At 47.3% G+C, this 26,618-nt stretch overlaps 1 protein-coding gene across 5 annotated transcripts, besides 4 other annotated features; it reads right to left on the minus strand.

The window, feature by feature from the left end:
- Nucleotides 1-717: 717 nt before the first annotated feature.
- Nucleotides 718-25,831, minus strand: ZNF746 (zinc finger protein 746). 5 transcript variants are annotated; one of them, NM_152557.5, is made up of 7 exons: nucleotides 25,535-25,831; nucleotides 22,226-22,525; nucleotides 22,011-22,092; nucleotides 20,881-20,994; nucleotides 5,586-5,777; nucleotides 4,944-5,069; nucleotides 718-3,502 (listed from the first exon to the last, which is right to left on the minus strand). In NM_152557.5, exons 1-7 carry the CDS (start codon nucleotides 25,556-25,558, stop codon nucleotides 2,406-2,408), a joined length of 1,935 nt encoding a protein of 644 aa, NP_689770.3. In that variant the 5' UTR covers nucleotides 25,559-25,831; the 3' UTR covers nucleotides 718-2,405. The 5 variants fall into 5 exon arrangements, with proteins under 5 accessions (NP_689770.3, NP_001350446.1, NP_001156946.1 ...); NM_001363517.2 differs by having other exon boundaries at nucleotides 22,011-22,137; NM_001163474.2 differs by having other exon boundaries at nucleotides 816-3,505.
- Nucleotides 22,155-23,354: an enhancer, noted in NCBI's record as "MED14-independent group 3 enhancer chr7:149191224-149192423 (GRCh37/hg19 assembly coordinates)". NCBI's record gives its function as "activates an origin of replication core promoter dependent on BRD2, BRD4, P300/CBP and CDK7 cofactors, and independent of MED14, by STARR-seq in HCT116 cells {active_cell/tissue: HCT116}" and the evidence as "EXISTENCE:reporter gene assay evidence [ECO:0000049][PMID:35650434]".
- Nucleotides 24,149-25,092: an enhancer, noted in NCBI's record as "H3K27ac-H3K4me1 hESC enhancer chr7:149193218-149194161 (GRCh37/hg19 assembly coordinates)". NCBI's record gives its function as "activates a minimal SCP1, AML or CMV promoter by ChIP-STARR-seq in naive H9 embryonic stem cells {active_cell/tissue: H9 hESC(naive)}" and the evidence as "EXISTENCE:reporter gene assay evidence [ECO:0000049][PMID:30033119]".
- Nucleotides 25,226-25,285: a silencer, noted in NCBI's record as "silent region_18760". NCBI's record gives its function as "represses an Ori minimal core promoter by ATAC-STARR-seq in GM12878 lymphoblastoid cells {active_cell/tissue: GM12878}" and the evidence as "EXISTENCE:reporter gene assay evidence [ECO:0000049][PMID:35858748]".
- Nucleotides 25,526-26,195: a silencer, noted in NCBI's record as "silent region_18761". NCBI's record gives its function as "represses an Ori minimal core promoter by ATAC-STARR-seq in GM12878 lymphoblastoid cells {active_cell/tissue: GM12878}" and the evidence as "EXISTENCE:reporter gene assay evidence [ECO:0000049][PMID:35858748]".

Consider the following 26,618-nt stretch of genomic DNA (forward strand, 5'->3'; position numbering starts at 1 on the left):
AACTCTGGCTGATGGGAATATGGGTGCTAGCCTGGCTCAACTGCTATTGGCTAGACTTTGCTCTAAGACCTGGATTACAACTACAGGCATCACGGTCCTTTCTTCACCTCCTGCCCAGCCAAGAAAAGATGCAAGAAGAGGCCGGGTGTGGTGGCTCACACCTGTAATCTCAGCACTTTGGGAGGCCAAGGTGGGTGGATCACCTGAGATCATGAGTTTGAGACTATCCTGGCCAACATAGTAAAACCCTGTCTCTACTAAAAATACAAAAATTAGCCCGGTGTGGTAGTGGGCACCTGTAATCCCAGCTACTCGGGAGGCTGAGGCAGGAGAATCACTTGAACCCAGGAGGTGGAGGTTGCAGTGAGCCAGGATTGCACCACTAAACTCCAGCCTGGGCAACAGAGTGAGACTCTGTCTCAAAACAAAACAAAACCCCGAAAAGATGCAAGAAGAAAGCATCCAACATCCATTTATCTTGGATACTCTGCAATTTTTCTCCCAGACTTTCCTGTCTTCATGTATGTCATCTCAAATCATATACAACGTAATGACGTAAACCATGTTTATATCCTGTTGGAAAGTGATTTGATGTGTTTTGATTCTCTCTCTAAATGTCAGTTTTTCTTCACAGAGTCAAATTTCTCTGGAATCTTCCATTCTTAGATCTCAAGGTCAGTTACCTGTCTGGGTCCAAGGTGACCAAGCCTAGGAGGAGGGCACTAAGAAAGCTGACCAGACAGCCCCTTGGAGGGCATGTTTGGGGGCATCAGTGACAAAGACACATGCCTAGGAATGGAACCCAACAAACTGCCTTGGTGCTGGTTAGGTTTTATTTTAACAGGATGTTTTCTCTTATTTTTCAAAATATCAGTTATATCAATATTAGAAGTGTAAACAGGTACAAAATATACAGTACATAGAAACAATTTTCTTAACTAGTCTATCGCCTAATAAAAGTATGCATGAGGGGGCTGAATGAATGGGCACTGCCAGGTCCCTCCGTCTGCAGGGGAAACAAGAGGACCAGTGGCTGCTTCAACAAAACAGGAATGGATATTTGTGTGGTAGGAACAGCACTGTGGTCGAATCAAGAAATCTGGGCCCACCTTTATGATGTTAGATGCTGGAATGAACAAGCCACTTGGCCCCCAAACCCAGCCTCGCGAGCTGTGCCCTCTGAGAGTGCACACATTAAGGAGGCTGGGGCACAGGGGAGGCGGCTGCTACAAGCAGAAGTTCCTTTGAGGCCTGGTGACTGGACTCTTGTCGGTGTGGGACAAATATTTTAAGAGGGAAAACCTGGAAATCTCTGTTCACCCACAGTGATGTTCCAGTAGAATGAGGCATCTCGCCTGTTGCTCTTCCCCACTCATGGCACGCCACGTGTACCCACAGTGAGAGGCTGAGGTGTGTCCCCTCTGAGCAGTTTGCACCTCTAAAAAGAAATCCCTGTCCTGCTGCTTCCCAAGGTCACAGTAATGATCAAATGAGATGCATTTTGAAAATAAGAAACTACCACACAAAGTGAACAGGAGACAGAAGCATCTCACGGAGTGGGAGGCAGCCCCAGGTTGGGGTGGGCGGCCAGGCTTTGCTCCCAGCTCTGCTGAGAGCTAGACGTTTGTGGTGCAGCTCCCCAGTTTCAGCTTCTCCATCTCCCCAGACCTAACGCTGGGATTTCAGACAACTCGTCCTTATGAGGCCAGGGAGTCACACACTAGGGGACACCACCAAGTGCCCTTGGGACGGGTACCACAGATGGCCCAAAATAGAGAAAAGTTGGGGCCAGCACTTTTGGGGGGCCTTTTCAGGAGAGGCAAGCTGGGAAATGCAACCGCTACTCCCGGAGGGGTCCTTCCTGCTGCACTGAGGTGTGCTCCAAGGGACCCAATGGCCCTCACTGCCCAGGGGCTTGGTGCGCTAGGCCCACTCAGCCCAACTGGGCAGAGCAGGGGCACACACAGGACCCCATCCCCAGGAGTCAGTGGGCCAGGGGTCCCCAACTGGCCAACCTTCCAACACACTATCAGACTCAGTGAGATAGTGACAGAAATGCACGCCCTGAAAACCAAAAGTACCTACAAAATTTAAATAGCCCTATTACTATTTTCCAGCTTTTTCCTCAAGAATTAAAAAAAAACAAAAAACAAAAAACAAAACAGGTTTGCAATTAAATTACTTAAAATTCTACGGCGCTCCCATTTCACAGAGAATTCTACTTGGTTTAGAGGTGGCAGCTGTCCTGGTGGATAGTTTCTCTTTCTCCAGTGATCATCAGTTCAGCAACTTGGACATTTGGTTCTCCCCGTCCCGCGTCTGCCTGAAGCTTCCACGCCGCCCTGCTGCCTGCACACGGGGCTTTTTACACGTGCGGCCGGCAGGGGCTATGGGGCTGGAGGCGCTCACATGTCCCCGCCATCGGTGGGTCCCAGGACGCTGAGGCCACAAGTCCAGTCGGTCACAAGGTCTGTGGAGGCCAAAGGTCCTTTGGAGGCGGGGCTCTTGAAGGGATCAGGAGGTGCGGGCGGCGTCGGGAGTGGCTGGCCTCGGGCCGGGGTCTTGGCGCCCGCTGCATGGTTGCGCTGGTGCTTGCGGAGGTGGTCCTTGCGGATGAAGCTTTTGCCGCAGACGGTGCAGGTGAAGGGCCGCACGCCCGTGTGCGTTCGGTAGTGGTCGATGAGCTTGGAGCGTTCGGTGAAGCGCTTCTCACACTCGGTGCAGGGGAAGGGCCGCTCGCCGGTGTGCAGCATGCGATGGCGGATGAGGTGCGCGGGGCGCGTGAAGCAACGGCCGCACTCCCCACACCGAAGGGCGCTGCCATCCCGTGCGCTGCCCCCACCGCTGCCGCCACCGCCGCCGCCACTGCCGCTGCCGCCACCGCCTGTGCCCGGGCCCGACCCGTCGGGCGCCCCACAGCTGCGCTGGTGCGCGCTCAGGCTGACTTGCAGCTGGAAGCTCTTCCCACACGTGGCGCAGGTGAAGGGCCGGCCCCCGGGGGGCGCCGCGGGGTGCTTCTTCAGCCCTGGCTTGTGGCCAAAGCCTTTGGTCCGGCCAGGGTATTTACAGGGTTCGTTGAATGGCCTTGGGGCCTGGCTGGGGTCCAAGATGGCCTCTCCGTTGTCCGGGGAGGAGTAAGGAAGCCCCTCGGGCCCCGTCCTCGGGTTCAGGCCCACTGGCGGTTTACACCGGAAATTCCAGCCCCACCGGACCCCTCCGAAGAGCCAGTCCCCAGGAGGGGTCTCCTCCTGGGCCACAGCAGGACTGAGCTCACCCATGTCCCTCTCAGGCCGGGCGGGCTCTCGCAGCCCCAGCACAGGGTCCTGGCTGGGGAAGGAGCTGCCCTGGCTTTCCCAGGCTCCTTCCTGGGCAGGACTAGGGAAGAACCGTGTGGCTTGGCCTGGTCCAAACAGGGTCCCGTGAGCCTCTAGGTCAGTAGGATGTACGGGTGTGGCCACCACCTCCTCTTCCTGGACTTCTGTTTTTATTACAATTTTTACATCTGCTGAGAAAGACAGAAAGACAGATACTGACCTGTCCCTTAACTGCTGAGCGAGCCACGATCTGCCACCATCACCTGCTCAGCAGCTGCCTGGCCAGACAAACTCCACCCAGGCCCTCGTGGCTGAGCCCAGAGGGCAGCTCAGCAGAGCAGCCTGGTGGCTGTGAGGCTGCCTCCCCCTCGAGGACACCAGTGTTCTGGCACCTTCACCACAGGACAAGCCACCATATCTGCTCCCCAGGCTCCATTTTTCAGTTTGGCTGTTAAGGCTAAGCATGAATTGATCCTCAGAAAGGAATTCGAACTGCTGCAGGCACTGTGCCCCACCACAGTGCAGGGAATGGGGGTTCAGACAGCTCGGCCACACACCAGCTGTGGGCTGCAGGCAGTTTCTAACCCACAGCTCATCTGTGAATGCCCACTTCACAGGTGTGAGGATTAAACCAGACAACATGTCTGAAAGCACCTTAGTGAGCTATTTGACATGCAGCAGCATTCAATAAATGGACCCACCAGCTAATGATAAAAATATTAGTGAATAAGAATGTGTTTGGCCAGGCGCGGTGGCTCACGCCTATAATCCCAGCACTTTGGGAGGCCAAGGCGGGGGGATCATGAGGTCAGGAGATTGAGACCATCCTGGCTAACATGGTGAAACGCCGTCTCTACTAAAAATACGAAAAATTAGCTGGGCGTGGTGGCGGGCACCTGTAGTCCCAGCTACTTGGGAGGCTGAGCAGGAGAATGGCGTGAACCCGGAAGGCGGAGCGTGCAGTGAGCAGAGATCGCCCCACTGCACTCCAAGCCTGGGGGACAGAGTGAGACTCCGCCTCAAAAAAAAAAAAAAAAAAAAAAAAAAAAAAGAATGTGTTTGATTTTATATAAGCGTACTTCAACTTCACATTCTGAGGTTTCACATCAGGGATCTTGGCTATTAGCACGTTTTTTGGGTGCTAAAATATGACGTTATTATAGTAACAGGTGACTGGTCTTCAAAACAGAAGTAAACAGAAAGCTAACAGATAAATTTGGTGGTGGTTCTTCTGAAATCGGCCTTCAGACACCTGTCTTTGGTAGTACCAATATCTAAGAAGTGGTTTCAGTTCAATTTTGTTTTCCTCCATGCCAGAGAGAAGCCACAGTTTCCTAAGCTGGGGAGGAGGTATATCCTTCAAGAGATAGGCTTGTTAGAATAGACCACTTAACACCATATGAAAAAGCAACAGACTGAAACATGGATGTCCTCAAGAAGGGCTGCTGACACCTATGATTTGGCAAGGAGATAAATAACAGAATGTGCAAAGGGTCATAAGAGTGCAGACACCCTAATGTCTGTTGGCTGGAAGGTCAGAGCAGTTCACCAGTGAAAATGGGATGCCTGGACCGAGGTACTCCCCACAGGCAAGCATGGCCCTTCCCTTCCTCCTCTCGCCACCTGTACCTTCCGTGGAGGCTGCTGTGTTGAGCTTCAGGGTCCCGTCCGAGCATGCTGAAGAGGGATGGTGGGGAGGGAGATCCGTTTGCCAGGAGGTGGGCGGGATGGTGGTGGAAAAGTTGGAATGGACACCTGCGGTAAGGGGAGAGCAGAGCCGGTGGGTTAGGGGACGGACGGGGAGGACAGAAGACTGTTGGGGAGGAGAGCAGGCTAAACTCTGAGGTCCCCCCACTGGGGGCTTTTCTGAGTGGGCACGAGGACCCAACCTCTCTGAACCCAGTGTCTTTTGTCCCCCTTTCTGAGGCACTGGGAAGCTCAGACATCATCAGTATGTTTCCCACGGGCCCCTCTCGAATAGAGGCAGCCAGTGACTTCAATGCCCAATGCTGGGGCAAGAGAAGCGGCCTCACGGTGATATAGGGGCCACTGGAACAGGGCCAGAGAGACACCCAGGGACAGCATCAGCCACCCGAGAGAGGCTCGAGACAAGTCCTTTAGTACAGTCCTACCTCGAGACGGGAAAATTTCTAAAGTTGTCAGGCCGGAAGTGTTGAGGGCCCACAGCTCCCCCATGCTGCCACGAGCCCTCCCCTGTCCCTCCTGTGATCCCTGCAACTTGTTCCTTATGTCCCCGTCTCAGCCACTTACCAGAGGTGGCATCCGTGGAGATGTCTCCTGCTCCGGAATCCAGCTGGCTGAGGCCCCAGGGCTCCTCCCCAATATCTGGCTGCCCGGCTGCCCACGCCTCCACGCCCAGGGCCTGCTGCTCCTGGAGCTGGAGCTCACCCTCCTGCTTGATCTGCATCAAGAGGTCTGGGGCGGGAACTGGGGGCCCCGAGCCTAGGAAAGGGAGTGAGTGTGAGGATACAGCATCACGGCCCCTCAGCCCTGGGGCATACACGCATCCAGCCGGAGAGATAGACACAGGGGCCTTACAAGGGTCCAACAGCAAAAGAGCCTGGTGGGAAGGGAGGCAGCAGCAAACAGGATGGGAGCCTAGGGCAGAGCCTGAGGTCACATGGTATTGGGAATGCGGGTAGGGTAGGAAAGGCTGAGGCGGGGGAGGGGAAGAATACACAAGCACATTCTCAGGGCTAGGCTGGTGGTCCAGAGGGAGACTAAGTTGCCCTGGGGATGGCCTGCCCTCACTTGAAACACAAGAAATGCTGAACAAAAGTGAACCCCAAGTCCCCCCAAAACCTTCCCCCCTCATATATTTAAGTGAGTGCAAAAGAAAAGATCCCAGAGGCAAGAATGACAGAGAACACACAGAGTCAATCACGAGTTACAGTGGAAGGCAAGTGACCTAGAGAGTTGTTGGAGTAGGATACAGGCCTTAGGGGCTGGGCTTTCATGTCCATGTGAGGTTGGGAGTGTGGCCGAGCCGCCTGCCTGAAGCCAGGAGTCATAGGCTCTGGCCTGTCTGTGAGATGGGGACTAGGAAAACTCTGTCTGCCTGCGGGAGCCACCAGGAAGCAGCCTACTTGTCCAGGGCTATGTGTGGGAAAGAAACCCATAAAAACTTGGAATCCCATGTCCACACAGAATTCACACTACCCACACGGGCAGACACCATAAACTGAGAAATTCACAGAAAAATTGGCTGAGAGCCATGGCAACTCAGGAGGCCCCAGCATGGGCAAATGCAGATCTGCCTCAGAGGGGCACCCACACAATGCAGTCCACAGGGGGCTCCTAAGGGAAAACTAAAACCAGAAGAAAAACTAAAACTTACAAAACAGAAGAGGTGCCAAATGGCCATGAGAGTCATGGCAGAGTTCACTCCCAAGAACTAATGAAAAAAAGGAGAGGCTGAATGATACAGTAACCTAAGTATGTCTAAGATCATCAAAGAGATAAAGAACAGAATCTTTAAGGCAAGAACAGCAAATTATTTTGAAAAAGGCAGATTTGAAAAAGAACTCAACATTCTAGAAACGACAGAGGCAGCTGTGGAAATGAAAAACTCAAATGGATGGCTCTGGCTCAACAACAACAGACTGAACACAGCTAGAGAGAATATTAGTGACTTGGGAGAGAGATCCAGGGAAATAACCCAGAGTACAACACTGAGAGATAAAGAATGAAAAATATGAAAAAGTTAAGAGACCTGGAGGACAGAATGAGAAATTCCAACACATGCTGGTAGAAATCCCAGAAGAAGAGAATGGAGAAATGAGTAATGGCAATAGGTAAAGAAATAATGGTTGAGAATTTTCCAAAACTGAAGGCATTGTTAAGTCCACAGTTTGAAGGAACAGACCAATTCCCAAGTAGGTAATAAAACAAACAAACAAACCTAGACAACATTCATGTGAAATGGAACCACAGCAAAGACAAAGAGAAAAACCTTAAAAGGTACCCAAGAGAAAATAATGACATTCAGACTACAGGAGATTTTCTTCAGCAACTAGGATATCAGAAGACAATGGAATATCTTCAAATGTTGAGAGAAAACATCTGTCAACTCATTTTATGAGGCTAAGACAATTTTTATTGCACAAACTAGAGGGGTAGTATATGAACAAATTTAAAAAATAATCTCATATATGAACAGATATGCAAAGATTCTAAATGAAAGAATTACAAATCAAACTCAGCAATATATTTTCAAAAAAGAAAAAGACATATTATGAACACATTGGGTTTATTCTGAGAGCTCAAGGATAACACTAGAAAATATAACGAACAAAGTTAAGATTAATAGCAAAAACAATATAATCATCTCAACAGATGTAAAAACAGCATTTAGCTCTTCTATTTCTGACATATGGCTGGCTAGATGTGCAGAGAAACAGAAATTCCTCCCAATGTGGAATATCTAAAATTGCTGAGTAGGCTGGGTACAGTGGCTCATGTCTGTAATCTCAGCAGTCTGGGAGGCTGAGGTGGGAGGAGCTCTTGAGCCCAGGAGTTTGAGGCTGCAGTGAGCCATGTTTGTGCCACTACACTTCAGGCTGGGTGACAAGGTGAGACCCTGTTTCAAATAAACAAACAAAAAAAGCCAGCCTAGGCAACATAGAAGACCCTGTCTCCACAGAGGGGAAAAAAAAAAGTTTTTAAAAAAAGTTAGCCAGGCATGGTGGCATCCCCTGTGGTCCCAGCTACTCAGGAGGCCCATTGTGGCCCAAAAACTTCCAGGTCAAGACTGTAGCTTGAAGTGGTCCTAAGTCTGCATTGGCATCAGATGACCAGCTGAGGAACACACACACATTCTCAGGAGGAAAGCATTTTAAACATAGCTTTCAAATAATCAATGAGCTCACAATTACACATCACCATCTCGAGAAAATCAGCACCACAAACTCAGCAGAAATCATGAACTGGAGAATATGACCAATGACTTTGGATATTAAAATTATCATATAAGGAATATAAAGTTCAATTATTTACAGAAATAAAAAGGGGGAATGAAAGTATGGAGAAATAAGACTATCAAAACTGACCAAATTTTGAAAAAGAATCAAATGTAACATTCTTTAGAATGGTGAGAAAAAATAACTGTTGTTTTGTTTGTTTGTTTGTTTGTTTGTTTGAGATGGAGTCTCGCTCTGTTGCCCAGGCTGGAGTGCAGTGGCGCGATCTTGGCTCACTGCAACCTCTGCCTCCCGGGTTCAAGCAATTCTCCTGCCTCAGCCTCCCCAGTAGCACTGGGACTACAGGTGCATGCCTCTAGGCCCAGCTAATTTTTATGTATTTTAGTAGAGATGGAGTTTCACTGTGTTGCCCAGGCTGGTCTTGAACTCCTGAGCTCAGGCAATCTGCCAGCCTCGGCCTCCCCAAGTGCTAGGATTACAGGCGTGAGCTACCGCGCCTGGCTAATAACTGAAATTTTAAAATCCAATGTGTAGGTTAAACAACAGAATGGAAATGATTGAATGGTGAATAGTGAACTAACTAGAAGATAGAAGAAATTATTCCAACCTTAACATAGAGACTGAGCTAAAAATATAAAGAGGGGTTCGAAGTTATAAAGGATAATATGAAAAAGTTCCAGAATAAAAGGTTAGAAAGGGGGCAAGGCAAAATTCAAAGAGGGAAGATAACACATTTTCCCAAATTGGTGAAACATTTCAGTGATTAAAGCAGGATAAAAGAAAATAAATCCACATCTAGACACATTGTATTAAAACTGCAGATCACCCAAGAGACCTAAAAGCAGGGAAAGAAAAAATGCAGATCATCCACAAAGGAATCCTGATTGGACTGATGGCAGATTCTCAATAGCAACAACAAAAGCCAGAAAAAAGGGGCAAATTATCTTCAAAAGCTAAGAGAAAATAACACTCAAGCTAAAATTATGTCTTTCCACTACAGTTGTCCCTTGGTGTCAGTGGGGGATTGGTTCTAGGGCACCCCATGGATACCAAAATCCCACAATACTCAAGTCCCTTGTATAAATTGGTGTAGTATTTGCATATAACCCACACACATCCTCCTGTATACTTTAAATCACCTCTAGATTACTTATAATACCTAATACGACGTAAATGCTATGTAGATAGTTGCTACACTGTATTGTTCAGAGAATAATGACAAGAAAAAAGTCTGTATATGTTTAGTAGACACCTTTTTTCCTGAATATTTCAAATGTGCAGTTACCTGAATCCACAAATGTGGAATACATAAATACAGAGGACTCACTGTATAGGGATGAAATAAAGATATTTTCACACATATAAACACATATAAACTCATATACACACACAAACTGAGGGCTCATTACCATCAGACCCACAAAAAATAACTTCTAAAGGAAGAAAAAATTTCTAAAGATTCCTCTATAACAATAGAAATAGAATACATAACTGTCAAATTAATTTAAAATAACAATAGTTTGAAAAGGAAAATACCTAAATGAATAATTCCCAAAGGAGAGGCAGGAAAAATACAGAAAAGGCAGAACTAAAGATTAACAGCACAATTTAAGATGGTAAAAAGAATCCAAATAAACTAATAACCATAATCAATGTAAATGGTCTAGACCAGAGCTAAGAAGAAAAAAGAATGTGAACCACATATCTAATTTTAAGTACTCTGGTAGTCATGTTAAAAAAGTAAGAACAGGTGAAATAAATGTTAACAGTACATTTTATTTAGCCCAAGATATAAAAAATGTTACTTCAACGTATAATCAATATAAAATGATTTATATTATTTTATACATGCATATTTTGTACTCACGGCTTGTTTTTGTACACGGTTTTTGAAATACGGTATGTATTTTATCCTTACAGCACATTTCAAGTGCTCAGTAGCTACAGGTGGATAGTGGCTACTGTTTGGATATTTAAAAGGTAAAGGTAAAGATTTTCAGACTAAAACCAAACAAATCCCCCAGCTATCTGCTGTTTACAAGAGACATACCTAAACAGAAGGACGCAGAAAGCAATGTAAAAGAATGAAAGATGTACTAAGCCAGAACAATGTAAAGAAATGATGTAGCTATACCATATCACATGAAATAAACTTTGAAAGTAAAAATATTCATAGAAATAAAAAGAATTACTGCATAATAGTAAACTAACCAGGAAGATAAAGTAATTCTAAGGTTTTTTTTTTTTTTTGAGATGGAGCCTTGCTCTGCTGCACTGGCTGGAGTGCAATGGTGCAATCTCGGCTCACTACAACCTCCACTTGCCAGGTTAAAGCAGTTCTCCTGCCTCAGCCTCCCGAGTAGCTGGGATTACAGATGTGTGCCACCACGCCTGGCTATTTTTTATATCTTTAGTAGAGACAGAGTTTTACCATGTTGGCCAGGCTGGCCTCAAACTCCTGACCTCAGGTGATCCACTCGTCTCAGCCTCCCAAAGTGTTAGGATTACAGGCGTGAGCCACTACACCCAGCCAATAACTCTAATTTTTTAAGCTTATCATATAGCTTCAAAATAATAAAGCAAAACTGATAAAACTCTAGGGAGAAATGAACAAATCCATCTTTACAGTAGGGGATTTTGATATATCTCTCTGTAATTGATAAATCTAGCCAACTAAAGGTTATATAAAATTTGAGCAACTCTACTAACAAACCTGATTAAAGGGACCTAAGCAGATTCCAAACACAGAGAAAACACAAGCTTTTTAAGCTACAGAGCGTTAAGGAAAAATGAACACTTTCTAGGTCATAAAACAGACTTCAGCAAAATTTAAACGACTAGTATTTTACACACTGCATTTTCTAGCTACAACACAATTAAGTTTGAAATCAATAACTCCCATACATACTAAAATTTTAAAATATACCGCTTTCTAAATAATCTGAGTCTAAGAAAAAAATCACAATGAAAATTAGAAGGTATCTGGAACCCAATATTAATGAAAATATTATCTATCAAAATGTATGGGCTACAGCTACAATGGTACTTAGAGGAAATTTTATAGCCTTGTATGTTTATATTAAAAAAGATAACACAGGGGCTGGGCGCAGTGGCTCACACCTGTAATCCTAGCACTTTGGGAAGCTGAGGTGGATCACGAGGTCAGGAGATCGAGATGATCCTGGCCAACATGGTGAAACCCCATCCCTACTAAAAATACAAAAATTAGCTGGGTGTGGTGGCATGTGCCTGTAGTCCCAGCTACTCGGGAGGCTGAGGCAGGAGAATGGCTTGAACCCGGCAAGTGGAGATTGCAGTAAGCCAAGATCGCGCCACTGTACTCCAGCCTGGCGACAGAGCGAGACTCCGTGTAAAAAAATAAAAAAAAAAACAAAAACACAGGTCAAAAATTAATGGGTTAAGCGTCAATGCAAGACATTAGAAAATAAATAACATTTAAGAACCTTTTCAAAAGTAGAAGGAAATAATACATATAAGAGTATCATAAATTAATAAAAGAGAAGACAAAGATAGAATATAGTTAGTCAAAGTTGGTTATTTGAAGAGACTGTTAAACCAATTCACCTCTAGCAAGGTTATCAAGAGAATGGGAGAGACAGCACCAATAACCAATTGGAAGAATGAAAAAGGGAACATAATGATAAATGCAGCAGAGATTTAAAAGATATAGAGGATATTATGAATGTTATTCCAAGTAATTTGAAAACTCTGGGGAAATGGACAAATTCCTAGGAAAATTTCAACCTGCCAAAACTAAAGAAGAAATAGAAAACCTGAATAGTCCTGTAACTAAAATAAATTACATCGGTAGTAAAAAATCTTCCCCACAAAGAAAACTTAAGGCTCAGGTGGCCCCACTGGTGTTTTCTACTAAATGTTGAAGGAATAGATAATTCCAACATTACAAAAACTCTCTGAAAATTAAAAACAGAATGAATACATCATAGCTCATATTTTTAATACCGAAACCAGACAAAAACAGTCTGAGAAAAGAAAATTACAAGCCCATCTCATCCATGAACAAAGATTCAAAAATCCTAAACAAAATAATTAGCATACAGCAATGTTCATAAAGGATCATGACAAAGTTAGGTTTATTCCAAGACTGCAAGGTTGGTTCAACATTAGAAAGTAACATAATTTACCTTACTAGCAGGTTAAGGAGAAAAAAATGTATAATCATCTCAATGGATACCAAAAGAAATTATATAAAATTCAAGTCATTACTGTTAGAAACACCTAGCCAAACACAGACATAGGAAACTTCTTTAGCCAGATAAAGGATATTTGTAAACAAAATCTTTAGCAAATATTATACTCAATGTGAAAAGTTAAAAAGTGTCCTCTTTAAAATCATGAACCAATAGGACACCTGTTATCATCATTTCTATTTAAGGATTTTCTGGGAGTTCTCAGTCAACACAATAAAACAAGAAAAAAAACCCATAAATATTTAAAAAGAAAAAAATTATTACTCATAGATATGATTAACTTTTCAGAAAAACTGAGAATGATTAGACAATTAATAGAAAGGTTATTAGCATTAATGAAAATTTTAGTAGGGTTCCTAGATCGTTATCAATAAATGAAAGACAACTACATTTTTATATATTAATACTGTGAGGTTTTTGAGAAAGCCTATCAGTTACAATTTTTCTTCCTTATCAAGGGTCTTAACAAACACAGAAAGAAAACAAAAGAGGAAGACAGGTGAGGCTAATCTATTTTTATTACTGATAATTCAGGGCATAATTCTGCATAAAGGGCAGGGACATTGGAATGCGCTCTTGTGATAGGAGAAAAAGCATTTGAAGAGGGGTATTCTCTGCCCTCAAGTCCCCAACAGCAACAAACAGAAAATGCAAGTTAAAAAAAGATACCACTGACAAAAGTGATTTAAAAAAAAAAAAAAAAGAACCTAGGAATAGATCTAACAAAATATGTGCAAGACCTTAATATAAAACTTCATTGCGACACTATAGACAAACCAAATGGAGTGACTTAGGACATTCACAGATAACATGACTGAATATAGTAAAAGTGTCAATTCTCTCCAAAATGTTAATAGATGGAATGCAATTGCAACCATAACCCCAACTGGAATTTTTCATGGAACTTGATAAGGCAGTTTGAGGGGCTATCTGAAAGAGCAAAGGAAAAGAAGAACCAAAGTGCAGTGAAAAAGAAGCAGGGTCTCCACCTCATAGCACCACAAAAGTCCATTTCTGAAGGATGAAGAACTTGAACATGAAAGACGAACTCTGAAAACCTTTAGTAGGAAATATGAGAAGGTGCACTGGTGTACTACAACATTGAAGAACGTAAACATTTCTTAATTGCTTAAGACACAAAAAGGACAAACCATAAAGGAAAGACTAGTAAATCCAAGTACATTAAAATGAAAAGCATCTGTTCTTTAAAATATACCACAAATGGAGAAGATAACGGCAACACACATAGTTGACAAAAAGGTTAATATTTAGAATACGTAAAGAACACTAACAGGCCAGGCACAGTGGTTCACGCCTGTAATCCCAGCACTTTGGGAGGCCGAGGCAGCAGATCACTTGAGGTCAGGAGTTTGAGACCAGTCTGGCCAACATGGTGAAACACTGTCTCTACTAAAAATACAAAAATTAGCTGGGCGTGGTGGTGCACACCTGTAGTCCCAGCTACTTGGGAGGCTGAGTTAGGAGAATTACTTGAACCCAGGAGGCGGAGGTTGCAGTGAGCCAAGATTGCACCACTGCACTCTAGCCTGAGCAACAGAGCAAGACTCTGTCAACAAAAAACAACTTAAAAAAATGCAAAGAAGACATAAACACGCATTTCACAGAAGAGGAAGGACAAACGGCTCACCAGTAGAGGATGTAATGTTCAATCTTATTAATTAGGAAAATCCAAGTTTTAAACCATAAATTTTAAACCATTTCACTCCCACCAAACGGGCAGAAATAAAAACAGCATTTCCCAGGGTGGTGAGGATGAGGTGTGATTGGAACCCCCAGGCCCTCCTGGGAATACCAGTTGGTATCCCCACTTGACATCACCTGGAAAAATTTGAATACATGTCTTTTCTTTCCTATGACCCAGCAGTTCCGCTCCTGGATCTACACCTACAGAAGCTTTTACATATGCATAAGAATGTTCACACCAGCAAAAAAAAAAAAAAGAAAAGAAAAGAGACAACACAAGCACCCACCAACAGTAGAAGGAATAAATACATTGTATTATGGTCACAAAATACAAAACTGTAAAGTGGTGAAAATCATGAAAATGAATGAGCTACAGCTATACTACATTAACATGGATGGCTCTCAAAAACATAACGGCAAATGAGAAAAGCAGGTTAAGGAAGAACATATGTGGTATGATTCCATTTACAAAAAGTTCCAAAGCAGATAAAACTAAATGTGTTACTTAGGATACATACTGAGGGAATAAAAATGTAAAGAAAGGCAAGGGACTCTATTTCTGAATTTTCAGTTTATGTATACTATAAGAGGAAGGAAGGGGTGTGATCAGGGGAGGACGGGGGTCCAAGAGGTTCAAGCTGTGGTCTCTCTCATGCTGGGTGTTGGGAATATGGGGTTTACTACTAATCTCTAAATGTCACACGAATTTTGTTCTGTATGTATTTTGTTTGTTATGTATAATACACAGTAACAATGTTGTAAAACAGGGGTCCCCATGCCCCGGGGAACCTGGACTGCACAGCAGGGGGTGGGTGGAAGACGAGCAAGTGAAGCTTCATCTGTAATTACAGCCACTCCCTGTCGCTGGCATTACTGACTGAGCTACGCCTCCTGCCAGATCAGTGGTGGCATTAGAGTCTAACAGCAGCGCGAACCCTATTGTGAACTGTGCATGCGAGGGGTCTGGGTCACACTCCCTTCTTATGAGATGGAACAGTTTCATCCCCAAACCATGCTCCCGGTCCCCCATTGGTGGAAAAATTGTCTTCCATGAAACTGGTCCCTGGTGCCAAAAAGGTTCCGGACTGCTATTTTAAAAGAAACAAAACACAATATTTTTAAAAAGGAGAAAAACAGCATTTGATACAATATAACACTTGTTCACAATAAAAACTTTTGGGTAGCATGGTTAGAAGGAAATGTCTTTAACAATATTTTCAAAAGCCAAAGGCAAAAATCATACTTAAGGCTGAAACTCTAGAAATGTATCTTGTCCACAGACAGGATGCTACTATCACTGCTGCTATTCAACGATGTCCTAGTCAAACTGCTAAATAAGAAAAATAAAGTTACAAAAAGTTAAAAAACAGACACAATCTTTGTGTGATTTGTAGAGGATATAATTATCTACATAAAAAATCCAAGAGAATATAAAGAAACAAACCATTAGACATGAGAGCAAGATTTTTTTTAATAAACAAAAGTCAACAGCATACCTGTACACCTGAAATAACTAATACATCTAATAAACTGTAAAAATCCCATTTATAATGAAAAACAACTATCAGAAGAAAACTGTAAAATCTTATTCAAGCACATAGAAGCCTTCAATAAATGAGTGTTCCAATGAGTAGAAAGGCTAATGTTGTCATGAGAGCAATTCTCCAGAAATTAGACTGTAAAGTCAATGCAATTCCAATCAAATTTCCAACAGGATTTTCTTAGGAACTTGACATACAGATCCCAAAATTCATATAAAAGAACAAATATCCAAGAATAGCCAAGACAGTTTTTTGAAGAACAAGCAGAGAAGGATTAGTCTACTAGATATCAAGGCTTATTATGAAGCTAAAAGAGCAAGCTGTTGGTGCAGAGACTGACAAAGAGACCAATGACACAGAAGCAAGCACCCAGAAACAGACTTGTGCACATGCAGAAACCAGCTCAGGACAGAATCGCATCACAAATCAGTGGAGAAAAGCTAACACATTCAGCAAACTTTGTTGGAAAATGAGACCATCGTTGTGGGAGAAAAAACTGAAACCCTCCCTTGCAAGCTACACAAATTTTAATTCTAGATAAATTAAAGACTTAAATTTGAAAAGCAAAACTTTTAAAAATTTATAAAAAAAATAGAGAAGAGTATCTTTCTGACCTTGAGTGAGGTAAGCAAGGATATCTCACTACAGAAAAAGCACAGATCATAAAGGAAAAGACTGACATGTTTGACTCTTTCAACAGTGAAAACTTCCATACAAGAACTACAACGTTAAAGACCTGCCACCGACACGGAGAAAATGTTTGTAACACAAATAATAGACAAAGGATTTGTATCTAGAACACATACAAAGAAGCCCTGAATCAAGAAGAAAATGAAGAATATCTCAATAGAAAAACAGAAGACAACTCACTGGAGAAGCAGCCAAATAATCGTATAAAAAGGGCGTGCAACTTAAGGGGGAAAATACAAGTTGAAACGAGAGGCCATCTCACCCCCATCAGGTCGGCAAAAATGTAATTATGGAAACTGGGCAGACGTTAGGAAGCAAGTTCTAGGAGCACCCGCTGGCACTGGGTACCCCTGGGGAGGGCCATACAGTAACGGAAGAGATGAAATCAAGCCTACGACGTGGTGAGGCCACCGCTGGGTCTACTCCCTGGAGCAGCATCCCCACAGGGCCACAAAAAAACAGGCGCAAGAACGCTCACTACAGTATTGCTTGTGAGAGTGAACAATCAGAAAAAGCTTAAGTGCCAATCAGTGGAGGAATGGAAAATAAGTTACAATATAGTTGCTTCTGGAATATTAAGCATCTGTTAAAAGGAATGAACTTGATCTACATGTATCAACATGGATAAGTCTGAAATACAGAATAATGAGTGATAAATATAATGACATCTATGTAATTTTTCAGAACACAAAAAACCGTATTATATATTGTTTACAGCTACCAAAGTACACAGCAGACGTTTTAAAATGTGGATAGAAAGAATAAACAGAAAATTCCTAGGGAGGCCTGGGAGACCTAAAAAGGAATTTAAATGCTATCAGAAATACATTATTTCACACACACACACACACACACACACACACACACACACACACGTTTTAAATTTTGAAACAGCATACATTCAGCAAATAGTTATTGAATTCCTACTCTGTACTAGGCAATACTCTAGGTTCCTAAAATGATTAAACAGGTAAAAATTTTTATACTTTTGAAATTGACATTCTAATGGAGGAGACCTGACATACGATGAATCTATAAATAGGAAACATATATATTATGTGACACTGTCTAACACGGAAGACCCAAAGCAGGAAAGTAGGCCTGGAGTCCTGGGTGGGGAGGGCCTGCAGTGCCGATGACACGAAAGGCCTGCAGGTGGGACCTGCCTGAGGAGGATTCCCAGTAGAGGGCACTGCGAAGGCCCTGGCACAGGGCGGAGGGAACAGCACCAGGGAACAGCACTCTGCAGCTGGGCAGAGTGAGAGAAAAGTGGAGGTGGTGAGCTGACGGTGCGGGTCAGATGGAAAGCCAGGACTTGGGTCTAAAAGGGATTACTCTGCTGGGCTGAGGCAAGACTGGGGGATCAGGGCAGGAGGAGAGGGGCTGGCAGGAGATGACGGGCCTACGTGGCAGAGTAGAGGGGACAAGGCCAAGTAAGAAGACAGACCATTCAGGACCACGGAGGGCCCTGGTAACCGAGGTTGGAGAGGTTTTGGTGGAAGGGGTAACAGAGTGGGGGGGAAGGTGCAGGAGACAGCAAGCGCAGATGTCCCCAAGGGCTCTGCCACAAAGGGGAACAGACAAGCGGGCAGTGGCTGCCGGGGTAGAGGTCAAGGCAGGATTGCTTGTATTGCCCTTGAGAAGATGGCATGAGGTGGGATCTGGTGCCAGATCGAAGTGGGGCTTTGGCTGGAGGGTTGACAGTTTAGCAGTCACAGAAGTGAAGGCAGAGAAGGGGGCACTGGTGCAGGCAGATGGCGTGGAGAGGGCTGTGTGAGTGGTGCGTTTCTCTTTTAAAAAACGGGTTAAAATATAAAACTGTTCTCAGCTGTGCACCATACAGAAACAGATGAGCTAGGTTTGGCCCTCAGCCACAGTTTGCTGGCCCCTGGGCTAAGGAGACACGGTGTGACTGTGTGGCAGAGCGCCCACTGAAGTCGCTGGTCATGAATGTCACGTGACACCAGCAGCCAGCTTACCTGGTTCTCTGCAGCCACGTGCAGCTGCTTGGCTGCAGGTGCAGAACACCGATGGATTTCACTAAGTGGATACAATGAACAAAACAGGGGCAAGAGTGCTGAGGGTGTGTGTAAGGGGGGACCACAATGGTGGGCATGGAGGGAAATGAGGATGAGTCAGGGCAGTGAAAAGGCAGCAGGGTCGATGGCTTGCAGGTCTTGAAGGACTGGAAAACTGCTGGAATCAGGACACCAGACGGAATTGAAGGGACGGCAGGAGGCGGCCAGGGAGTGGTGTGCTGGAGATGGAGATGGTGGGTATGGTAAAGTCACTGTCGTCACAGTCACGGATGGCTGTGGGATGGGTTGGGGGGGCACAGGACAATCAACAAGGAGGCTGCCATGGCCAAGACTGAGGGCAGGAAGAGTGTTGAGAAGAGAGGGAAGGTCTGCAGAAGTAGCAAAAAGACAAGGCCTGGGACCCAAAGGCAAGGTCTCTAGAGAGGGATTGAGGCTGGCAGAGGCACAATCTGAGGGGTGAGGACCCTGTCCCAGTGGGCCTGGGCTCAAGACAGAGGCAGGGAAGAGGATGACAAGCACTCAGAGGGCTGCAGTCCCCTGGAGCTCAGTCCGAGCAGGGAACACTCAGGACCTGGCGGGTCTGCTGAGCCCTGAGTCCCACAAGGCTCAGTGGAGGGATGTGCAGGAGGTGAGGAGAAGGGGAGGTGAGGTCTCACAAGGGGATGGGTCAGGCCAAATGTGGCAAGGGATGAGCTGGGAGTCCTGGCTTCTCAGACAAAGGGGACAGGGATAAACGCCACACAGATCCCTGCCAACAGGCTCAGGATGGACAGTGGAGTTTGTGTCTACTCATCTTGTCTACTGGTGGGTAGAGGCCACGGATGCTGCTGAACATCATACGGTGCAGCTAGAGAGTGTTACAGGGTCTTACCAGCAACCAGCGTATTTCCAGCCCCTCTTTACTCTCATTGAATGATGCTGTGGAAGTGAGGGAAGCCTCCACACATGGTGTAAATACAACGAAACCCACCCACCCAGAACCTCCCACCCAGGCTAGGAAGCTGGGGACGCGCACGGGTTGTAACCCTCTTTTCCAGCCCAATAGTATCTGTTCTCAGCCATCTTTCTGTCCTCTAGTGTTCAGCACTGTCCTTGACGCCTAGAAGATTCTTAAAAATGCATCTGTAGAGCTAAACTGTCAATGTCCCGATGACGACTGGCAAAGCGGCCAGCCCGGAACATGCTTCTGCCCTTAGGAAAGTGCAAATCTGACTGAGATGAGATGACGAACATGGGGGATGCATTTAATTTCACACAAGTGGCGCACAGGAGGGCCTCTGCGGACCACCACCTTTCTCAGTGTCAGACGAAAGGGAAAACCAAGGCAGGTGGGACGGTCAAGGGCGGGTCTTCTGGAGGAATCAGGGGTCGAGCCTTGCAGAGATGTGGTCTCCCTAGTCAAATGACCCAGCAGGTCTTCACTTTAGGAATTTGGTTTTTCTCCTGTGTCCACCTGTCCTTCCCTTAACTTTCAAAGGTGCTGACTGGCTCCAGGGAAATCTGAGACGCTGATATCTGGTAACAAGATTCACCTTAAATAAATGTGTGCTTCTAATAATACCAAACCATAAGGCTGACCAATGTAGACCAAAGTAGCTCTACAACTGCTACTGGTTTAAATTAAGGTTGGTTCTTGGAGGCAAGGCTGACTCTTTGCAAAGCTTTGGATTAATTTTGTTGTCAATATACAGCTGACCTTGAACAACATGGGTTTGAACTATGCAGGCCCACTTATAAATGGATTTTCTTCTGCTTCTGTCACCCCTGAGACAGCTAGACCAACCACTCCTCTTTCTCCTCAGCCTACTCAATCTGAAGAAGACAATGAGGAGGATGACCTTTATGATGCTCCACTTCCACTTAATGAGTAATAAATATATTTTCTCTTCCTTATGATTTTCCTAGTAACATTTTCTTTTCCCTAGCTTATTGTAAGTATCACTATGTAACACACAGAACATACAAAATATGTGTTATTGACTGTTCATAGTATCAATAAGGCTTCTGGTTAATAGGAGACTACTAGCAGTTAACTTTTTAGAGAGTCAAAAGTTATACATAGATTTTTGGCTGCGTGGGACTGGGGGCTGGTGCCCCTGGCCCCTGCGTTAAGGGTCAACTATGCTCCTGCCTTCCCTCTCAGCGTTCTCCTCTCCCTCCCCTCAACCTGTGCCCTGCCTTTGTCTCTTCCTAAAAGATTAGGTTTGCCACCTGTTTCCCTGACAGAAAGTGTTCATTTCTGGAGCATTAGCTGACTAAGTTAGAGATTAAAACTCAACTATAAAAAACTCAAGACATAAAACCTGTAAGTTTCATGTTTCTCCTCGACTCTCTCTGGAAAGATCACACCCTTTCTGGCCTTTCCGTCTCTGTTTCCTGCACAATACCTGATGCCTCCCTGGCCTTCTCCCAGCCCTTACCTGGACTGGGGTCCACAGGAACATCTGGAATCTTGGGGCCAGGGCGGCGCCAGTTGCAGGGCTCCTTCCCTTGTTCAATCTGGGAGAGGACCTCGGGCTTGGAGATGGCGTAGTCTGAGGAAAGACAGAAGGTTAGTTTTTGCCACGTTCCAGTCAAAGCTGGGGACAGTCATCCCGGAAAACCAACAATGGTCTAGAAATGAAATCTCTTGATTGTCACAAAGCAGTAGCTCTCAACCACAGGCAATTTTGCTCCCTGGGGGCATCTGGCAAAGTCTGGAGACAATTCTGGTTGTCATGCCCAGGGCTGGGGGAGAGGTGACTGGCATCTGGAGATGCCCTGAGAGGCCAGGGCTGCTGCTCAACATCCTACAATGCAGAGGATGCCGCCGACACACAGAATCACCTGGTCCCAAATGTCCACAGTGCCGGGGTGAAGAAACTGCCACAGAGCGTGCACGTTAAACAGCAGTGCACTTGTGCTGACGAAACAACCTCACGTCTGCACCTGCTCCTGCCCTCTCTAACAGGTCTCACTGCCCTCGGCTCCGGGGTCACACAGAAACCATTAGGAAGAGAAAACCAGCCCAGGAAGAAACAGAGTCCAGGCCCTTCCTGGGCAGGATTAAACAAGGAGAAGAGCAGTAGCCCCAGGGGCTGAGGGAAGCAAAGTTTTGAGGCATGAAGAAAATGTCTGCTGCAAGCAGCACCGTCTGCCCATGTTCTCCACTGACCTCGAGGCATGTTGCCGTAAGGGCCACGCATGTTTGTAGGAGAAGGCTGAAGGAAAGAGTCTTTCTCAAATGTGAGTCAATTACATACTGGATCTGAGAGCAGATGGGGCCTTCCCCGCTCCAAGTCAGCAAGAACAGAAAGGTCCACATCCCGGGCCTGCGTAGGAGAGAAGCCACCGCCGTTCCCAGACTGGCATTCTGGGAAACTCAACACAGGGAGAAGGGAGCTTTTAACTCCATCACCCAGGGCTCATCCTTCACAAAAGGTAACAACTTGCAAGGTCAACAATGTTTCTGGTGATTTATATAACACTGACATGAAAACAACTATGTGGAGGGAGAATTCTGAGGACTTGCAAAATCCCATTTAACAGAGAAATGAGTGTCAGGCCTTACCCAGGGAGACCAGCGTCTCGTAGTTGCCCCTCATCACGTGCTTGTAGAGCTCCTTCTGCCAGTCCTCCAGCTTGCCCCACTCCTGCTCGGAGAAATACACGGCCACATCATCAAAGGTCACGGGCACCTGGAACCACAAGTGTCACACTCGCTCACCCACACGCTCACGGGTTTGGCCGCTTGGGCTCCCACACCCCAAGGCGTCCCAGGGCTACCTTAGGGGACTCCCCCTTGCTGCCCGGGGGCAGCCGCAGGATCCAGAAGTTCCTGTTGCGCAGCAGGTTCTCCACGTTCTCCAGCCGCCTCTGCAGCAGCCCGTACTCCTGCAGCAGGGTCCCCAGCACGGCCCACTTGCCCTCCAGCTGGTTCCCGAACTCCACGGCTGTCTTCTCGCAATCAGCCAGCTTCTTCTCGGCCATCCCGGTTCGACCTTCTAGGGAAAGCAGGCGAGCAGCCTGCGATTCAATCTTCCTCTCCATGGCCTGAATCGTGGCTGCCATCGTCCACGGAGAAATCTTTCAGAAACAAAAGAGAAACTGGCATCACTCATTCCATCCACTGTCTTCATTGAGCCCCTCTCTCCCTAGGCACGGGGGAGTTGGGCTGGGAGTCCATATGTGTGGACAAGTGGGGCTATCCTATACCACATGCCAGATCTCAGGTTGGCCATCACCTGCTTGGGTATGTTAGGTCTATGTCTGGGTGGGTGCCTTTACTCCAGGCCTCTGCAGCACAATGCAGACCCTTATCACGGTGCTTATCACCCTACACAATAATTTCCTACCCACACCTACACTGTGGGCTCCCTGAACATGGTATTGCATCTTTTCATACCACTGTCCTTGACACATGGCAGGTACCCAGTGCAATTTTGTTACGTAAACAGTGACTTAGCATTGCTGGGCATTTTAGTGGAGAAATGGTAAACTGCAGATTTACTAGAGCGCAGCCTGCACCTCCCCTCATGATTACACAGGAACTGTCTACTGATGATGACCCAGCAAAAAAAACAGCTGGTTCACTGAAACGGCACAAACAAGAGTATTGCTCAATTTCTTTTTTCTTTTTTTGTTTTTTAAAGCATCTCATGTCCCCTTTTAACAAACATAAAAATCTAATGGCCAGTTCCTCTTCCCCCAGGACAGTCTCATTTTGTCACCTTCCCATCTGCCCCTCCCCCACAAGCTAAAATCCCCATGACTGCAAATCTCCATCAGTCCAGAGTTAGGCTTTTTGACACTGCCTGAGCCCTACAAGATTCTTTCTCTTTCCCAATTCCCACCCCCTCAAGGTAAAAATGACGGCCTCCGACATTTTTGTAGCTGTACCAGGAGCAGTGACATACCCTGCAGTCTGGTGAGGAAAGTACATATATGCCACAGTTAGACTTGTATATGGACAGCAACCATCTTAATTAGAGACGGGGGCCTTCCCTGTCATTGGAAATGTTCACATGGCGTATCAGTGACCGGCAGCTGGGACAAGGAAGAATGGGCACATTTTGCGGTGGGTAGGGAGCTGGACTGTTTGAGCCACCCACATCTGAATGTGGGACCTACAGGGCACAGAGGAGCTCCTGGTATCGGGACCTGAGGATCAACGCCTCCTTACAACATTCTGCAAAATAATTCCTCAACAAAAGGTTGGTGATTATTTCCAAAATGAAGAAGTAGCTACTAGAAACCAGTGTGGATTCACTTAGAGAAAGTCACTGAGAACTAGAATGCGGATGGACAGCTCAAAAAATAGAGACAAAAGGAGAGTTTGAGCAGAGGGAGAAACAAACTTGTCTAGGACAGTGCTTAAGATACTATCTATTTGGAAGGAAGCAGGACCCAAAGAAGGTAGGACTCTAAGGGGTCTTCAAGGCTGGGAGATTCTGGACAAGCTGAACTGTTTCTAGGCGAAAACCCCAATGCGGGTGGGAGTCTTGCTCTCAAGGAGTAGGTGGTCCTACAGCACCTGGGTGGGCCAGCGTGGTTCTGGGCTTGAGTCCACCCTCCACCTAAGGCCACTGTTCCTTCCCTCACCTCTCCTTTCTCAGATCAATCCCTGTCACGTGATCCCAGACGCCAAGAGTTTACTCCAGAAGCTTCCTTTCAACTGGTCACCAGCTCCTTATCCACTGAAATCCTACCCATCCTCCACGTGCATTATTATGGGCTTTGTGTGGCATGAAAGGGACCTCTGCTAAACTACTTTATTAAGAAAATATTAGTCTTTTACTCATGGACAACAAGGTGCATGGTTTTCTTACAGTTCTGATGGGGCCAGGAAACCCTGTGTAAGGTCTTCACACTATGTGGTGGGAGGTGGCGACTGTGCGCTGCTCACTCCAGCCCAGCTTCTTACTGACAAGTGGCTGGAATATGTGGGGCTGTCCTTGGACTCCTGCCAGGGGAGCTGAAACTCTTTGCTTGAGAGGAGCTGATGGTAAGAGGAGCCGGATCCCTCATCCACTGCCCACCCGCAGGATGAAGTCCAGGCATGCAAACCCCTTCTTAGTCTCTCTCTGCAGACTCCTTTCCCACTGCCTCCAAACCAAAACCATCTTCTCCAGGCTCATGGACTCCTTTCTGTGCCTGCACACGCCCTGCACTGTCCCGTCTCTCTGCGCCTTTGCCCAGGCACTCCTCCCTCCCTGAAAGCACCACCGGTCTAGCTGGGCCTGAAATCCTAGCCTTCCCTAAAAGCCCGGCTCAAATCACAGAGGCGCAGAGCATCAGGCCAGGAGGGGTGGACAGCGGTACCAAGAGGCCCCCTGACACTCCTTCCCCCGGAGCCCACCGCAAGCTTCCACCTGGGCGCCAGCACTCACCCCTTTCTGTTTTGCACGATTATTGCCCGCGTACCTGCCTGCCTGGTCCTTGAACACACAGCCACTGTGTGTCTTTTCACACTTTCCAGCTGGGTAAGCCTGGGCAAGTTAAGTTCTCTAGGCCCCGGGTTTTTCTTTTGTATGACAGAGATTAACACCAGTACCCATCCCACAGGCTTGCTGTGAGGACAGACTAACGCCTCAACAGGGCTTGTGGAAGTGCGTGGCTCTATATTCCCTTCCGCGCCGACCCCGGGAAGCTGGGCACGTAGTGGGAGTCGGTGTATGCGGATTCGAAGCCGGACACCTCCCAGGTGCCACCAGGCCGCTGCGGGGGAGATGGAGAGGGACCTACAGGCCGAGCGCCAGGCAGAGAAAGGAGCCGCGGGTGGGGGGGCACCCAGAAGGAGGGGACAGCGGCTGGGGCGGGGGCAGGAAGCCCCGGAGGGCCCAAAGAACTTGGCGTGGGGCGGCCCGGGGCGGGGACAACCGTTCCGCCAGCGCTCGGGTTCGGCTCGGAGTGGGGGCCCGGCCGACGGGCGCAGTAGGCCCCGGCGGACCCCGCGCCCCATTCGCGGGAGCCCCAGGCCCGGTGGTCCGGCCCGGACCCCGGAACCCCTCCCCAGGGCCTGCGGCGCCGTGTGCCGGGGCCGGGCCGCCTGGGGCCCCCAGGCCGCGAGTCCCTGCGCGCGCGGGTCGCCCTTACCGGAGCCGCGACCGCCTCGGCCATGGCCCTGCGCTGTCCCGCCCGGCCCGGAGGAAGTCGTCGTCGCCGCCGCCGCGCGCGGCACCACGCAGGCCCGGCCGCCCGGTGCTCTCCGCAGGCGGCGCCTGCCTGGCCTTTCCTCTGCCGCCGCTCCTCGCTGGCTGCCCCTGCGCCGCGCCGCCCGCAGTCGCGCCGCCTCCGTCAGCGCCCGGCCGGTCCACACTGCATCCTGGGAGCCGGCGCCGCGGCCCGGCAGACGAAGGCCCGTGAGGCTTCCTGGAGGCAGCGCGGCCGCACAGCCCCACCTGCAGCCTGAGAGGCGAACGGCAGGCGCTGCGCCCGCCTGCCCGCGGCCCCGCCCCGCCCCGCCCAGCCCCGCCCGCGGGGCCCGACGGGAGGACCTAGCGACCCCGGGCCGACCCCGCGACCCCGCGACCCCGCGACCCCGGCCGGACTGCCGAGCGCGGGGGGAGTCACTGCGCTGGCCCCGCGGCCCAGCCCGAGGACTCGGTTATTGAAAGGGTCCCCCTCATGGGACCCGCCTGGCCGCGCCCGCGGGCGAGCACGGGCTTCCGGGCAGGGCGTCCCCCGGGTGACCGCGGCCAGGGCGGCCCCCTCGCCCTGGGATGCCCGGCTCCCCTTCCCCCGCCCCACGGGCACTTCTGCTGCCCGAGGTCCTGGGTCTGGAGGTTTAGGCTATTTTGGGGAGGACAGATGTAACTCATGCCCACCTGTGTTTGAAATGGAATAAATACTTCCAACAACAGGAATATAGTTCGGTAAACCCCGGTAGGCAACCACTTAGCATTTTCTGTAATGGGTTTATTACAGTAAATTTTTTTAATGGCATGAGCAATGGGACGCAATACCATCATTTAAAATGATTTCGGTGAAGGTCTTGGTAGGAACAGATGTTCATGATGTTTTAAGAGAAAAAGCCTGTCCAGGACGATCCTGTCTTTGTTTTAAAAATAACATTTTAAAACAATATAGGACATATGTAGCGTCATATACTGCGTACATGTATAATTACAGTTTTGAAAAGTTTGGAAGCATATATATCAACATGGCCTCAGTAGTTCTA

The sequence above is a fragment of the Homo sapiens genome, chromosome 7, assembly GCF_000001405.40.
Source record: "Homo sapiens chromosome 7, GRCh38.p14 Primary Assembly".
Classification (NCBI taxonomy): domain Eukaryota; kingdom Metazoa; phylum Chordata; class Mammalia; order Primates; family Hominidae; genus Homo; species Homo sapiens.